Below are 17,130 nucleotides of genomic sequence, written 5' to 3' on the forward strand. Positions count from 1 at the left end.
TCTAAGGGCTACCTGGAGCAAAAGCACTTGTGTAATTGGGTTACGAACTAGTCAGTTTTTTCATGGAAATATATTTTCACTTAAAAGAAAGTCTGACAGACACACTATGGCTACTCAGACTGAAGAATTTGTCAGAGGTTTTTTCTGAAAATGAGCAAACTGAACTTGTCATTACCAGGAAAATAAATGATATGTTGTTGATGATATAAATTAACTTTTGAAATGAAAATTAGAATGTTGGTAAATTTTATCTGCCACCGTGAGCTTAACAGTTTCCCAATATATATGAGGACTTTTTTGATTAAATTAATGTTGATATTAATGAATGTGATTTTTTTTGTTATAACGAAATGTCAATATTTGGAAGGGCTGCTAAACTCCACGGGCCAGTATTTCCCAAATAACCAATGCATCATAGTACAAAATCAGATCTGTTCAAAGTAAAATAAAATGAATTCTAGTGCAACTGATTATGAAAAATTTATCAATGTGGTTTCAAACCCTACATTGCAACTGACCCATAAAAAATTACCCATTGCTAAATTTTGGTTTAGTATTAAAGAAAATAATCCACAATGTCCCCAAAATCATATTAAAAACTCTTTCCTATTCCATCTGCATATTTTTATCGGGCCAGATTTTTCTTCATATAGCTCAGGCAAATGCCATATTGTAACATGTTAAATGCAGAAGCAAATATGAGAATCTAGTTGCCTTCTATTAAGCCATACATTAAAGATACTTGAAGAAATGTAAAACAAAGCCACTCTTCTTACTAAATATTTTCAGGGAAAGTAAAGGTATTTTCCCTGAAAATATGTTATTTATATAAGCATGTAATGTGGTTTATTATTTGTATTCTAAAATGAATTTATACATATTTTTAAGTTGTCTCAGATATAATTTCTATTATAATTAACATGTATAGATAAGCTCACAAACAAAAGTTCATTGGTGTCTTTGATAATTTTTAAGATTGGAAAGCAGTCTTGAGACCAAAGAGTTTGAGAGATACTGGTTTAGATTTTAAAAACCCATCAGTACTTTACCAAAATTCATCAAAGTCGAGCTCCGTTGGCCACAAAGAAGAGGATGAATGGCTGTTGAATAAGCAAGCGATAGTGTCTGCCACTCCTAGGTCTTTCCAGCAGTACTCTGAGATTTGTTTTCCCCGTGTTCACTCTTCTTTAGACTCTATCCCCACCCCTCTTCCCCATATATCAGCTGGAAAGGCTTCCTTACAACATAGTTTAGATTAAGCTACCAAGAACTGCTGAATAGCTATCCATTACATTTACAATCCAACTCAAATCCTTTGTAGTGGCCTAGAGGCCCTTTGTCATCTGACCATTGTCTGTGAGGCCATACTATGTTTTGGTTTAGAGTGTGTGCTCTGAAGTCAGACTACATGGATAAAAGTCTCAGCATCATTCTTTACAACTGAGTAACCTTATGCAAGTTACTCACACTCTTCATGTATTCTTTTCCTCATCTGTAAATGGGACTAATGATGATAATACTGAATTAATCAGTTTGCTATGAGTATCAATGGAGATAATCCATATTAAGTGCTTAAAAGAATTGCTGGTCCAAGTAAGCTCTCAGCCAATGTTAATTGCTGCCTGTGTCTCCAATATCATCTTATACCATCTTACACCACTCTCCCCTTGAGTTTCTGTTCTCTAACTAAGTGTAAGCATTACAAGTTCTTCCCTGTCCAGAAACTCTTCACATATTTTTCCCTTGACCCTAACAACCTTTCCACTGCCCTACAGATAGCTAGTATCTTCTTCTTTCTGAGGGTGCAGCTGACATGCCAGTCCTTAGGGAAGCTTTTGCTGACCACGTATTCTCAATCAGATTTCTTCTCATCTCCTCCCCACCTCTCATGGTAACTCTATATTACAACAATCTGTTTCCCTCTACTACTAGGCATGATTTGTAATATTTATTGCTCTCTTATTTTTTATCTCCAGCATTGGACTGTAAGTGCCATGACAGCAAGGAATATACTTGTGTTCAGCCTGTTTCCTCAGTGCCTTGATCAGTGGCTATCATGTCATAGACACTCAATAAATATGTGCTAAATTAATGCACAAATGGATTAACCCATTTCACACCTGCCCTGAGAATACTTGCCAGTGGCACTTGTGCCTGCAACATTTACTCCTAGATAACTCACAGGTAGACATCATTCTATTTAAAGCATTCTAGTTTTAGCAGTGATATTTCCATTTACAAAATATAGTGAATCTCAATAGCTGAAAATGTCAAATCGTATAAAAAGTAGCATTCCTACATGTGATGTTAATTCAGTGGTGAACTTATGGCTCTGAAATGATGTGACAAGAAGGAAGTGAAAATGTTGTCAACATTCCACAATGATACCGTGATTGAAGTAGACAACAGAAATGGAAAGGAAACTAAGAAGCCATTTGTCATTGAGGATTATAATGAGAATGTGGGAGCAGTGGACTTGACTGATCAGATGCTCATTTCCTATCAAACTGAGCCCAATAGGCACAAGATTTGTATGAGAAATTCTTTCACCACCTTCTAACATTACGGTGCTGAACTCCTACACCCTGTTCAAGAGGAACAATTCTGGGCGCATGATTAGCCATGTAAACTTCAGACTGATGTTGATTGAAAGAATGCTGGAAAAGCATCACAAGCCAGGGCAGCAATGCCTTCGAAGTTTTCTATGCTCTAATAATGTCACACCTCTTCTCCCGACTGGAAGATATTTTCCCAAGACCATACCATCAACATCAGGGAAACAGAATCCAACTGATCGCTGCAAATTTTGCTGCTCGCACAATGCCAAGCATGGCAAGACGATCCCGAGAGAATCGCGATATTTTTGTGAGGAATGTGATGTTCCACCTTGTGTTGTTCCATGCTTTGAAATTTACCACACACAAAAAAATTATTAGGCCGGGCATGGTGGCTCACACCTGTAATCCCAGCACTTTGGGAGGCCGAGGCAGGTGGATCACCTGAGGTCAGGAGTTCAAGACCAGCCCGACCAACATAGTGAAACCCCGTCTCTACTAAAAATACAAAAATTAGCCAGGCATGGTGGTGGGCCCCTTAGTCCCAGCTACTAAGGTGGCCGAGGCAGGAGAATCCCTTCAACCCTGGAGGCAGAAGTTACAGTGAGCGGAGATCGTACCACTGCACTCAAGCCTGGGCAACAGAGTGAGACTACGTCCTAAAAAAAAAATTCAGTATTGATCATCACTTATATTTCTGTTACATTAGGATTAGAGACAAGTTCTGTTTAGAAATAACTCCAAGAACAGTTATTGTATTTTATCTTAACCTCGAAAATCAGTCAGGTTTTCTTCAGCCTCAAAAAGCATGTTTACATAAAACGAAATGAGCACTGGCAGTGAGCTGCACTTTTTCTAAACAGAAAATGGGTTAACGAATGAATGGGTTGCCACAAGATGCAATCCACAGCCATAATTAGTTGGACTTGCTGGTGTCAAAAGTCCAATAAATTCAGGGAAAATATAATAAACATGCAATTAACAAAAATTACATGTAAAGTCTAAAGGTTAGCTACTGCCCATGAGAGGGCATAATGAAAATAAAAGCATGAACTACGACTACTTTCTCACTTCATTGAAATCATGTGTCATTTATATGTGAGTACCCGAGGGTGTTGATGAAATTTTTTTTTTGGCTCATATGAGAATCAGGACATAAATAATTTAAATGTCTTGAAAATCTGAAATCTGAGCTCCTAGAATCTTCAACCTGAATGGAACCTTTACTATCATACAGTCTGATACTCTGATTTTACAGACAAAGTATTAAGTCCTAGAGACTTAATGTGACGTGTCCAAAAGAACACAACTGGAATTGAAATGTAGTCATCCTAAACTATAATCCAAGCTCGGAAATTCTCTCATCACTATCCCTGAGTAAATGCAAATTTTTGTGTAATGCCTACTAGAAGTCATTATCAAGAAGGCAAATGTATTTGACCAAATATATTTTGGAATAAATGTTGAAATGGAAACATAATTTGTGGATTTGATAATTGATCACCTCTGCTGTGGAAGCTATATCTTTGCATACAGACCTAAAATATCGTAGTTTTGAAATGTGCATTGAGGGAAAGCTAAGGATTAGCCTGGTGGCATAAAATATGGGCAGCAGCTGGAGGTGAAGTTTCATGGAGTAAATCAGTTTTAACTTGTGAATTATTGTAATTGGAAAGTGATCTGGCAATAACTTAAATGTAAGCCTTTTAGGGATAAAATGGAACATTTGCTTTGTGTTAAGAGTTTGTGCCTCAAATCAATATTTTGTAGGTAAATGGAGACTTCAGGATAACCGAATGAATCTTAGAAGAGTAAAAAGCTGTGCCTTCTTTCTCAATAAGTCAGTGTCTCAATTCTTAAACACTAAATCAGCACTGACTCTAGAAAACTATAGAAAATTGACATCCTGTGAACCTGAGTTAATCTGATAATGAGAGATGCATCTATGTATCTGTGTATAATTGACTGCATATATTTTATTCTACTTCAAGTTCTTAGCTCTATGCGTGTCTAATGATTTTACTCCTTTAAGAGTAATTATAATTAGAATGAAGAAAGTATATGTAAAAAATTATTTTTAAAAAGCTGGACCTTACTGGTACTGTGAATGCTGATGCTTTTGGTTCTCGTCTATTCTATTGTTCTTCGATTCTATTACATTTTATTTTATGCCATGTTTTTGCATAAAATATTTTTTATAAAAAATAATTTTTTTAAAAAAGCACAGACGTTACCAGTACTGTGAATGCTAATGCTTTTGGTTCTTGTGTATTCTATTGTTCTTTGATTCTATTACATTTTATTATATGCCATGTTTTTGCCCTCTATGGAAAAGGCTACGATTTTTAAATCAAAACTACACACATTGGGCAATCTCTTTTTACAAGAATTTTATTTTTATTTTAAGTTCTGGGGTACATGTGCAGGATGTGCAGGTTTGTTACACAGGTAAATGTGTATCTTGGTGGTTTGCTGCATCTATCAACTCATCACCTCAGTATTAAGCCCAGCATACATTAGCTATTTTTCCTAATGCTCTTCCTCGCCCCACCCCACCCCACCAACAGGCTCCGGTGTGTGTTGTTCTCCTCTTTGATTTAAAAAAATGAGACTTAAAAAGTGAGAGATACAAAGAGAATCTCTCACTTTTCAAGTCTCAGTTTTTTTGTTAAATCTGAAAAATGGGTTAATGATAGTATCACTTGCATTCAATGGGGCTATGATAAAGGTCTGATGAGATGATTTGCATAAGCATTGAGCACAATGCCTCATATGCAGAAGGCATCCAACACATGTAAACTTGTTTTCACCGTTGGTTGTAGTATTACTAGATCATTGTCAGACTATTCAGTCACTGGCCATCTCTTCTTCCCTGCGTCCGTTGAGCAGAGTTCTGTGTATTCACGTATAGAAAAGGAGGCAGGAGAAACTTTCTTGGGCTCTTTTTATTGATGGAATATGTAGAAGGCAGAAAACAATCAGCTTTTTGTTTGAAGACAACTTGAAGGCTAAACTTTTCTTGCTTTTCTTTATAATGAATCAATGAAATCAAATTTATTTAAAAAGTTAATGTAAAAGGATACCAGCTTCTATTCTTTCTCACTTCATTTTTCATCTGGAAGTTTGAAGCTAAAATGATTTTGTGGATCTAACACATGATCAACACTAATGTTTAGTTAGCACAATCTATGGCTCTCTGCCAGGTTTCCAGGGTAGATATCAAATGAGAAGGAAAACGCTTTGCTTCTGTGACCAACGAAAATTTATTTTTAAAAGGATAAAGGTGAGAAATCCCCAAAGCTACTGCTGTGTCTAAAGTTTTGAATACTGAGAGCCTTGAATTAATAAAGATTCATATGAATAGCTTTATCGAGTACATCTTATTGAGTAAAATGTCTCCATAGGGCTAAGTTAAATTCTCCCTAAAACTTTCCTAGAGTAATAAAGAAAGCATTATTTTATACTTTCTTAGAGTAATAAAGAAAGTATAAAATCTGGTGTGGATTCTAGGTGATGTCTTATACTTGGGTGCAAGCTCCAAGTATGGGAGTAGAGAGACAAAGTTGGCTTATAGACTTCATATGAGGAAAAGGTTGCTTTTAAAAATTCAGGGTGTGAGTGAGAGAGGCAGAGAAGGGGGAAGGATGTGAAGGCACAGAAGGAAAATTGGATGAGAGACCTAAGAAAGCTTTCTTTTCTCGTTCAAGCATAGCAAAATGCTGGGCGGGGCGGGGGGGTGGTGGTGGAAATATCACTTAGTACTTCCTACAAAAAATATAATAATGCTTTACCAAATATTTTATCCTTTCCAATGAGTGGCTAAATTTAAAAAAAAAAAAATCCTGAAGCTGACATTGCAAAATATGAGTATTGCTGAAGGAGTTCTGCTGGACCAGCAGTTTCGCTTTTCTAATCTTCATCCTGGAAAAGTTCAACTGTAGTCTGGTCCTTCTTTGGTCTTGGAGGAATTTGAGTAAGGTGAGGGTGCAGAGAAGGGATGTTGAATTTTTTTTTTTGTTTTGTTTTTTAAACAGAAAATTAGTCAAACCTGCTTCTTGGCACCATATAAGATTTCAAAAGCCTACTTGATTTCCCGAATTACTCCATTAAAAATTAACTCACCCAGTTTGTAGGAAGGTAAGCCTTATTCTAAGAGATGACTACCTCAATTCCATTATAAATCTTGTAAATATGTAGGCTGACAAAAGGAAATAAATAAACCATCATCTTTGGTGTTTTATTTCTTTCAGTTGTTTTTTATGTGATTCATTAAAGATTTTTTTAACTTTTTTTCCTCAGTTGAAAAATTACATGTATAAATCCTGACTTTAGAACGGCAGAAACATGCACAGCTGCTGGTTTAAGTTTACAAAATCACCAAACAAAACAAAACACAACTTGGCATAGAGCCATGTTTAAACCTTTTGTAACTGAATTTAATGAGGATGAAAGTTCAAATTCATTTTATACAGAAAAATAATTTTTTTCTAGTCCTATAGAAAAAATTCTAGTCAAATAATTTTATTCTAGTCATGTAAACATATAAATTATTCTCTACATCATAATGAGAGAGCACATTATTCTTAATCTCATAAAACAGAAAGGAAGCTTGATACATGTTTGTGAGAGCATATTGCCTTGACATAGGTATTTACTACTCATAAAACATTATTTTCATCTCATTGGTTTTTTATAATCTTGGAAGCCCTTTATTATTTTGTATTCTGGTAATCTCCAAATTTATTTTTATTAATTGGCTTTTTGTTGGTTTCTTTAATAATTAGAAAACAGTAAAATTCTCTCATAGAAGGCCTACTAGGTTGGCCAGTCTTTGGAAAGATGAACAAACAAACAAAAACTTACAAAGTTCTGTCTAAGGTTGTAAGTAAAAAGAAATGGGAGTGTCACATTTCTGAATTATAACTTGTTCATAGGCTACAGCATTTTATATTTATTCATCTCAGCTGAGGCACCAACATCCAGTGTTCTTTTCAATTAGATTTTTCTGAAGCAATTAGGCTTCTTGCATCCATCTATCATGTTACAAGGTCTATGATCCAAATGTCCCAAACACATCTGAATAAAGAAAACTCGGTTTACTTTCATGTAAAGCGAGTGTTGGCAATGTGTGTCAGGCATAGAGGCCTAACAGAAATAATCACCTGATACAATTATAGATAAATGCACCTGCATTTATTTAATATACTTTCATAATAAGGCAGCCACCCTTTCCAAATCTCTAACAGGTACCGTCCAGTCACATAAAGAAAAAGTATATTAGGATGTGGAGTTCAAAGGCTTCTATGTACTTGCAAACCCTTGCAAACAGGGTCAGGGAGAGATTAAAGGTTGAGAATTTTCCCCAAAGAAATTGAATTTTAAATAGCAAAGGCAAATACTCATGGCAAATCTGAACTGTGATAAGCTACCAATAATTATTAGGTTCAATTGTGTAATGTCACCCCAAAACTTCAACTTTTATACCAAATTTTAGATGGACAAAGTTAAATACAACTGAAAATCGAATCAAAGTTGTTAGCTACAATAATAATCTGATTAGTAATTATATCAATTAGTTCAACATTTTTAAAATTTGCCTGTGTCTTTTATCGAATAAATGTGTGCATACCTGTATTAGTTCATTCTCATGCTGCTAATAAAGATATGCCCGAGACTGGTAATTTATAAAGAAAAAAGTTTTAACTGACTCACAGTTCAGCATGGCTGGGGAGGTCTCAAGAAACTTCCAATCATGGAAGAAGCAGAAGCAAACACGTCCTTCTTCACATGGCAGCAGCAAGGAGAAGTACCCAGCAAAAGCGGGAAAAGCCCCTTATAAAACCATCAGATCTCATGAAGAACTCACTGACTGTCATGAGAACAGCAGCATGATTCAATTATTTCCACCCCCATGATTCAATTATTTCCACCTGGTCTCTTTCATGAAACATGGGGATTATGGGAACTACAATTCATGATGAGATTTGGGTGGGGACACAGCCAAAAAATATCATTCTGCCTCTGGCGCCTCCCAAATCTCATGTCCTCACAATTCAAAAGATAGTCATGCCCTTCCAACAGTCCCCAAAGTCTTATTCCAGCATTAACTCAAAAATCCAAGTCCAAAGTTTCATCTGAGACAAGGAAAGCCTCTTCTGCCTATGAGCCTATAAAATCAAAAGCGAGTTAGTTACTTCCTAGAAACAATGGGGGTACAGGCATTGGGTCAATACACCCATTCCAAATGGGAAAAATTGGCCAAAACCAATTCCAAAATCCAGTAAGTCCAATGTCCAATAGGGCAGTCATTAAACCTTAAAATTCCAAAATGATCTCTTTTGACTCCATGTCTCATATCCAGGTAATGCAGATACAAAATGAGGGCTCCCATGGCCTTGGGCAGCCCCACCCCTGTGGCTTTGCAAGGTACAGCCCCCCTCCAGCTGGCATTGAGTGTCTGTGGTTTTGCCAGGTGCACAGTGCAAGCTGTTGGTGGATGTACAATTCTGGGGTCCGAAGGAAGGTGGCCCTCTTCTCATAGCTCCATTAAGCAGTGCCCCAGTAGGGACTCTGTGTGGGAATCCAACCCCATATTTCCCTTCCACATTTTCCTAGCAGAGATTCTCCATGAGAGCTCTACCTCTAAAGCATCGCAGGACATCCGGGCATTTCCATACATCCTCTGAAATCTAGGCAGAGGTTCCCAAACCTCAATTCTTGACTTCTGCGCACCCGCAGGCTCAACACCGCATAAAAGCTGCCAAGGCTTGGGGCTTGCATCCTCTGGAGCCCTTCCTGAGCTGTACCTTCACCCCTTTTAACGATGACTGGAGTGCCTGGGACACAGGGCACCAAGTCCCTAGGCTGCACAGAGCAGGGTGGCCCTGGGTCCGGCCGATGAAGCCATGCTTTCCTCATATGCCTCAAGGCCTGTGATGGGAAGGGCTGTCTCAGAGGTCTCTGACACGCTGTGGAGACATTTTCCCCATTTTCTTGTTGATTAATATTCGGCTCCTTGTTACTTATGCAAATTGCTGCCATAGACTTGAATTTCTCCCCAGAAAATGGGTTTTTCTTTTCTATCGCATCATCAGACTGCAAGTTTTTAAAACTTTTATGCTCTTCCTCCTCCTGAATGTTTTGCTGGTTAGAAATTTCTTCTGCCAGATCATCTCTCTCAAGTTCAAAGTTCAAGTTCAAAGTTCCTCAAATCTCAAGAACAGGTGCAAAATGCCTCCAGCCTCTTTGCAAAAGCATAACAAGAGTGACCTTTGCTTCAGTTACCAACAAGTTCCTCATCTCCATCTGAGACCACCTCAACCTGGACTTTATTGTCCATATCACTGCCAGCATTTTGGTCAAAGCCATTCAACAAGACTCTAGGGAGTTCCAAACTTTCCCACATCTTCCTGTCTACTTCTGAGACCTCCAAACCGTTCCAAACTCTGCCTGTTACCCAGTTCCAAAGTCGCTCCACATTGTTGGGTATCTTTTCAGCATCACCCCACTACCCAGTACCAATTTACTGTATTAGTCCATTCCCATACTGCTATAAAGAAATGCCTGAGACTAGGTAATTTATAAAGGAAAAAGGTTTAATTGCTCACAGTTCCACAGGGCTGGGGAGGCCTCAGGAAACTTAAAATCATGGCAGAAGGGGAAGCAAACACGTTCTTCTCTACATGGTGGCAGGAGTGAGAAGTGCCAGCAGGGAAAATGCCAGAAGCCTATAAAAACACCAGATCTCATTTATTGATTTGCATATATTGAACCAGCCTTGCATCCCAGGGATGAAACCCACTTGATCACGGTGGGTAAGCTTTTTGATGTGCTGCTGGATTCGGTTTGCCAGTATTTTATTGAGGATTTTTGCATCGATGTTCATCAGGGATATTGGTCTAAAATTCTCTTTTTTGGTTGTGTCTCTGCCCGGCTTTGGTATCAGGATGATGCTGGCCTCATAAAATGAGTTAGGGAGGATTCCCTCTTTTTCTATTGATTGCAATAGTTTCAGAAGGAATGGTACCAGTTCCTCCTTGTACCTCTAGTAGAATTCGGCTGTGAATCCATCTAGTCCTGGACTCTTTTTGGTTGGTAAGCTATTGATTATTGCCACAATTTCAGAGCCTGTTATTGTTCTATTCAGAGATTCAACTTCTTCCTGGTTTAGTCTTGGGAGGGTGTATGTGTCGAGGAATTTATCCATTTCTTCTAGATTTTCTAGTTTATTTGCGTAGAGGTGTTTGTAGTATTCTCTGATGGTAGTTTGTATTTCTGTGGGATCGGTGGTGATATCCCCTTTATCATTTTTTATTGCGTCTATTTGATTCTTCTCTCTTTTCTTCTTTATTAGTCTTGCTAGTGGTCTATCAATTTTGTTGATCCTTTCAAAAAACCAGCTTCTGGATTCATTAATTTTTTGAAGGGTTTTTTGTGTCTCTATTTCCTTCAGTTTTGCTCTGATTTTAGTTATTTCTTGCCTTCTGCTAGCTTTTAAATGTGTTTGCTCTTGCTTTTCTAGTTCTTTTAATTGTGATGTTAGGGTGTCAATTTTGGATCTTTCCTGCTTTCTCTTGTGGGCATTTAGTGCTATAAATTTCCCTCTACACACTGCTTTGAAAGTGTCCCAGAGATTCTGGTATGTTGTGTCTTTGTTCGCGTTGGTTTCAAAGAATATCTTTATTTCTGCCTTCATTTCGTTATGTACCCAGTAGTCATTCAGGAGCAGGTTGTTCAGTTTCCATGTAGTTGAGTGGTTTTGAGTGAGTTTCTTAATCCTGAGTTCTAGTTTGATTACACTGTGGTCTGAGAGACAGTTTGTTATAATTTCTGTTCTTTTACATTTGCTGAGGAGAGCTTTACTTCCAACTATGTGGTCAATTTTGGAATAGGTGTGGTGTGGTGCTGAAAAAAATGTATATTGTGTTGATTTGGGGTGGAGAGTTCTGTAGATGTCTATTAGGTCCCCTTGGTGCAGAGCTGAGTTCAATTCCTGGGTATCCTTGTTGACTTTCTGTCTCGTTGATCTGTCTAATGTTGACAGTGGGGTGTTAAAGTCTCCCATTATTATTGTGTGGGAGTCTAAGTCTCTTTGTAGGTCACTCAGGACTTGCTTTATGAATCTGGGTGATCCTGTATTGGGTGCATATATATTTAGGATAGTTAACTCTTCTTGTTGAATTGATCCCTTTACCATTATGTAATGGCCTTCTTTGTCTCTTTTGATCTTTGTTGGTTTAAAGTCTGTTTTATCAGAGACTGGGATTGCAACCCCTGCCTTTTTTTGTTTTCCATTTGCTTCGTATATCTTCCTCCATCCTTTTATTTTGAGCCTATGTGTGTCTCTGCACATGAGATGGGTTTCCTGAATACAGCACACTGATGGGTCTTGACTCTTTATCCAATTTGCCAGTCAGTGTCTTTTAATTGGAGCATTTAGTCCATTTACATTTAAAGTTCATATTGTTATGTGTGAATTTGATCCTGTCGTTATGATGTTAGCTGGTGATTTTGCTCGTTAGTTGATGTAGTTTCTTCCTAGCCTCAATGGTCTTTACAATTTGGCATGATGTTGCAGTGGCTGGTACCAATTGTTCCTTTCCATGTTTAGTGCTTCCTTCAGGAGCTCTTTTAGGGCAGGCCTGCTGGTGACAAAATCTCTCAGCATTTGCTTGTCTGTAAAGTATTTTATTTCTCCTTCACTTATGAAGCTTAGTTTGGCTGGATGTGAAATTCTGGGTTGAAAATTCTTTCCTTTAAGAATGTTGAATAATGGCCCCCACTGTCCTATGGATTGTAGAGTTTCTGCTGAGAGATCCACTGTTAGTCTGATGGGCTTCCCTTTGAGGGTAACCCGACCTTTCTCTCTGGCTGCCCTTAACATGTTTTCCTTCATTTCAACTTTGGTGAATCTGACAATTATGTGTCTTGGGGTCGCTCTTCTCGAGGAGTATCTTTGTGGCGTTCTCTGTATTTCCTGAATCTGAATGTTGGCCTGCCTTGCTAGATTGGGGAAGTTCTCCTGGATAATATCCTGCAGAGTGTTTTCCAACTTGGTTCCATTCTCCCCATCACTTTCAGGTACACCAATCATATAAACAGAACCAAAGACAAAAACCACATGATTATCTCAAGAGATGCAGAAAAGGCCTTTGACAAAATTCAACAGCCCTTCATGCTAAAAACTCTCAATAAATTAGGTATCGATGGGACGTATCTCAAAATAATAAGAGCTATCTATGACAAACCCACAGCCAATATCATACTGAATGGGCAAAAACTGGAAGTATTCCATTTGAAAACTGGCACAAGACAGGGATGCCCTCTCTCACCACTCCTATTCAACATAGTGTTGGAAGTTCTGGCCAGGGCAATTAGGCAGGAGAAGGAAATAAAGGGTATTCAATTAGGAAAAGAGGAAGTCAAATTGTCCTTGTTTGCAGATGACATGACTGTATATCCAGAAAACCCCATTGTCTCAGCCCAAAATCTCCTTAAGCTGATAAGCAACTTCAGCAAAGTCTCAGGATACAAAATCAATGTACAAAAATCACAAGCATTCTTATACACCAATAACAGACAAACAGAGAGCCAAATCATGAGTGAACTCCCGTTCACAGTTGCTTCAAAAAGAATAAAATACCTAGGAATCCGACTTACAAGGGACGTGAAGGACCTCTTCAAAGAACTACAAACCACTGCTCAATGAAATAAAAGTGGATACAAAGAAATGGAAGAACATTCCATGCTCATGGGTAGGAAGAATCAATATCGTGAAAATGGCCATACTGCCCAAGGTAATTTACAGATTCAATGCCACCCCCATCAAGCTACCAATGACTTTCTTCACAGAATTGGAAAAAACTACTTTAAAGTTCATATGGAACCAAAAAAGAGCCCACATCGCCAAGTCAATCCTAAGCCAAAAGAACAAAGCTGGAGGCATCACGCTACCTGACTTCAAACTATACTACAAGGCTACAGTAACCAAAACAGCATGGTACTGGTACCAAAACAGAGATATAGATCAATGGAACAGAACAGAGCCCTCAGAAATAACGCTGCATATCTACAACTATCTGATCTTTGACAAACCTGAGAAAAACAAGCAATGGGGAAAGGATTCCCTATTTAATAAATGGTGCTGGGAAAACTGGCTAGCCATATGTAAAAAGCTGAAACTGGATCCCTTCCTTACACCTTATACAAAAATTAATTCAAGATGGATTAAAGACTTAAATGTTAGACCTAAAACCATCAAAACCCTAGAAGAAAACCTAGGCATTACCATTCAGGACATAGGCATGGGCAAGGATTTCATGTCTAAAACACCAAAAGCAATGGCAACAAAAGCCAAAATTGACAAACGGGATCTAGTTAAACTAAAGAGCTTCTGCACAGCAAAAGAACCTACCGTCAGAGTGAACAGGAAACCTACAAAATGGGAGAAAATTTTGGCAACCTACTCATCTGACAAAGGGCTAATATCCAGAATCTACAATGAACTGAAACAAATTTACAAGAAAAAAACAAACAACCCCATCAGAAAGTGGGCAAAGGACATGAACAGACACTTTTCAAAAGAAGACATTTATGCAGCCAAAAAATACATGAAAAAATGCTCATCATCACTGGCCATCAGAGAAATGCAAATCAAAACCACGATGAGATACCATCTCACACCAGTTAGAATGGCGATCATTAAAAAGTCAGGAAACAACAGGTGCTGGAGAGGATGTGGAGAAATAGGAACACTTTTACATTGTTGGTGGGACTGTAAACTAGTTCAACCACTGTGGAAGTCAGTGTGGGATTCCTCAGGGATCTAGAACCAGAAATACCATTTGACCCAACCATCCCATTACTGGGTATATACCCAAAGTACTATAAATCATGCTGCTATAAAGACACATGCAGACGTATGTTTATTGCGGCACTATTCACAATAGCAAAGACTTGGAACCAACCCAAATGTCCAACAATGATAGACTGGATTAAGAAAATGTGGCACATATATACCATGGAATACTATGCAGCCATAAAAAATGATGAGTTCATGTCCTTTGTAGGGACATGGATGAAATTGGAAATCATCATTCTCAGTAAACTATAGCAAGGACAAAAAACCAAACACCGCATGTTCTCACTCATAGGTGGGAATTGAACAATGAGAACACATGGACACAGGAAGGGGAACATCACACTCTGGGGACTGTTGTGTGGTGGGGGGAGGGGGGAGGGATAGCTTTAGGAGATATACCTAATGCTAAATGACGAGTTAATGGGTGCAGCACACCGACATGGCACATGTATACATATGTAACTAACCTGCGCATTGTGCACATGTACCCTAAAACATAAAGTATAATAATAATAAAATAAAATAAATTTAAAAAAACACCAGATCTCGTACGACTCGCACATTATTATGAGAACAGCATGGGGAAAACTTCCCCCATGATCCAAATATCTCAACCTGTTCCCTCCCATGACATGTGGGGTTATGGAAACTACAACTCAAGATGAGATTTTGGTGAGAACCCAGCCAAACCATATGAATACCGTAATCAACCCTTGCCTGGACTATGGTAAAAACCTTGCCTGCAGCTCCTGTGATGATGAGAATCTATATTCGGAAAACATTCAACATATGACACTCTCCTAGTGGTAACCTTTTGACTCCTCATTGCCTTTATGATAGATTCCACACTCCCCTGTGTAGAGGTCAAAACATCTTATTTGTCTTTTGTCAACCTTTCCTACTTCTTCTTCATTACTCCCCTACCATAAGCATTTGCTTTATGGCAGTGTTTCTCTATGTTAGGGTATTTTGGGTAGTTTCTGTAATTTGAGTAATTGAAGTTGTGGTTGTGCAGAATTTTTATCAGAGACTAAATGTTGATGGCTCCTCCCAGGAATATTGACAAAACAATTCCCCACAAATTTCTACATACCCACTATGTGGACAGTACAGCCTCAATGTGAGAATCACTGGGCACACATGGTCCACTGTTTTTATCCTGAGAAGGTCTGTGGTTGTGCTACCTTCTGAGCTTGGGATGTGAATGCTTTCTACATTGTTGTCTAGTCTAGGTCTTAGTTTCCATATAAGACTTAATAGTAGTCCCCTTCCTAAACCTGGTTCACAGTGGTCCATCATCATTCCTGTCATCCCTAACCACTGGTTTGGCACTTTTTAAAAAACTACTGGTTTGGCACTTAGTCTGTTCCAGTGTATGGTGTTTTTCTTGTATATTAATGTCTTCCCTTCTCTATGAAACAGAGCTACTGGAGGGGAGGAGCCTTCTCTGAATTGCTAACAAGTAGCACAATAACCTCTTAGCCTCCCTCATGTAGTGAGCTTTTTTATAACTCTCAGCCTTTCATGCACTATTACTACTCTCTGGAATATCCTTGGCTATCACTTTTACCTTCAAAACGCCTCCTCTTCCTCCAAGAGATAGCTCAGCTGTCACCTTTTTGGGGCAGTCTCCTCTGACCCCAGAACCCATGATGGGTCCTTCCATGTTTTCTTATGGCATAAGGCAAGTACTTCCATCTTAGCACTTGTCACAGTGTAATATACTTGCCTGGTAAAGCAAGTGTATCTCCTCAACTCTTTAGGGAACTCCTTGAGGATGAGTTTTTATGTAAATATGTTCCTCCAGTCTCTATCATACACCTGTCACACATGCTGCTCTTGTTAGTTTTATAATCTTCCACTATCTTGGCTTTGTAGGGCAGAAGAGCTAATTTGTTTTCAGTGCCAAAAATACACTAGGGATCATTTTGCCTATGTCAATAGGGGTCATTTTGATGCTTACAAATAAAATAAAACTCTCTCATTCCCCAATAAAAGTTATTTATATTTGGAGAAATAGAAGAAAATGAATAAAACTGTTTCAGGATTCTTGAATATGAACAAAGTATTATATACTTTAAAACATTATCACAATGCACACATAAATACACATGCAACAATAGAAGTAGAAGAAAATACAATATTTATCTTATTATCTTCCAATTCCAAATGAGAAAAATAAGGTGTAAGAATTGTACCCAAGATCATATGACTAGTGAGTGGTGAAGTATTTGAGTCTGGTCTGTCTGATTCTGATGGTCATACTTATTTACCTATGCCAGAAATGGCAAGCATAGCATGTATAAGCCACAAGTGACAAGATACTATGCTAAATATTTAAATATAACTGATATAACTGAATTTAGGATTATTACATGAAAATGTTGTTTGTCAGCTCAAAAATAAATAGGTAAGAGGAGACATATTGAGTAAAAGGTGGGAACTGCAAACTGGAGGGAAGGAAATATGTTTGCTGAAGAAAATACCTTTTCGGCGCCAATACCCCATTTTAAAAGTGCAACAAAATTAAATGAGCAAACAACAAAACTCACTGAGAGAACAAATGATTAAGAATCATCAAATTTTGAAACTAGAAGGAGTCTTAAAGGACATCTAGCTGACCTAGCTCACTTTCCCAAGGGTAAAACAGGCTCAGAGGAAGATGTCAATGAGTGAGACCAGTCCACTCCACAATGGTATACAAACTTCAGTGTA

At 38.1% G+C, this 17,130-nt stretch overlaps 1 pseudogene; it reads left to right on the plus strand.

Moving 5' to 3' along the window:
* PGBD4P6 (piggyBac transposable element derived 4 pseudogene 6) lies at positions 2,311 to 3,202 on the plus strand (annotated as a pseudogene).

This window comes from Homo sapiens, chromosome X (assembly GCF_000001405.40).
Source record: "Homo sapiens chromosome X, GRCh38.p14 Primary Assembly".
Taxonomy (NCBI): Eukaryota; Metazoa; Chordata; class Mammalia; order Primates; family Hominidae; genus Homo; species Homo sapiens.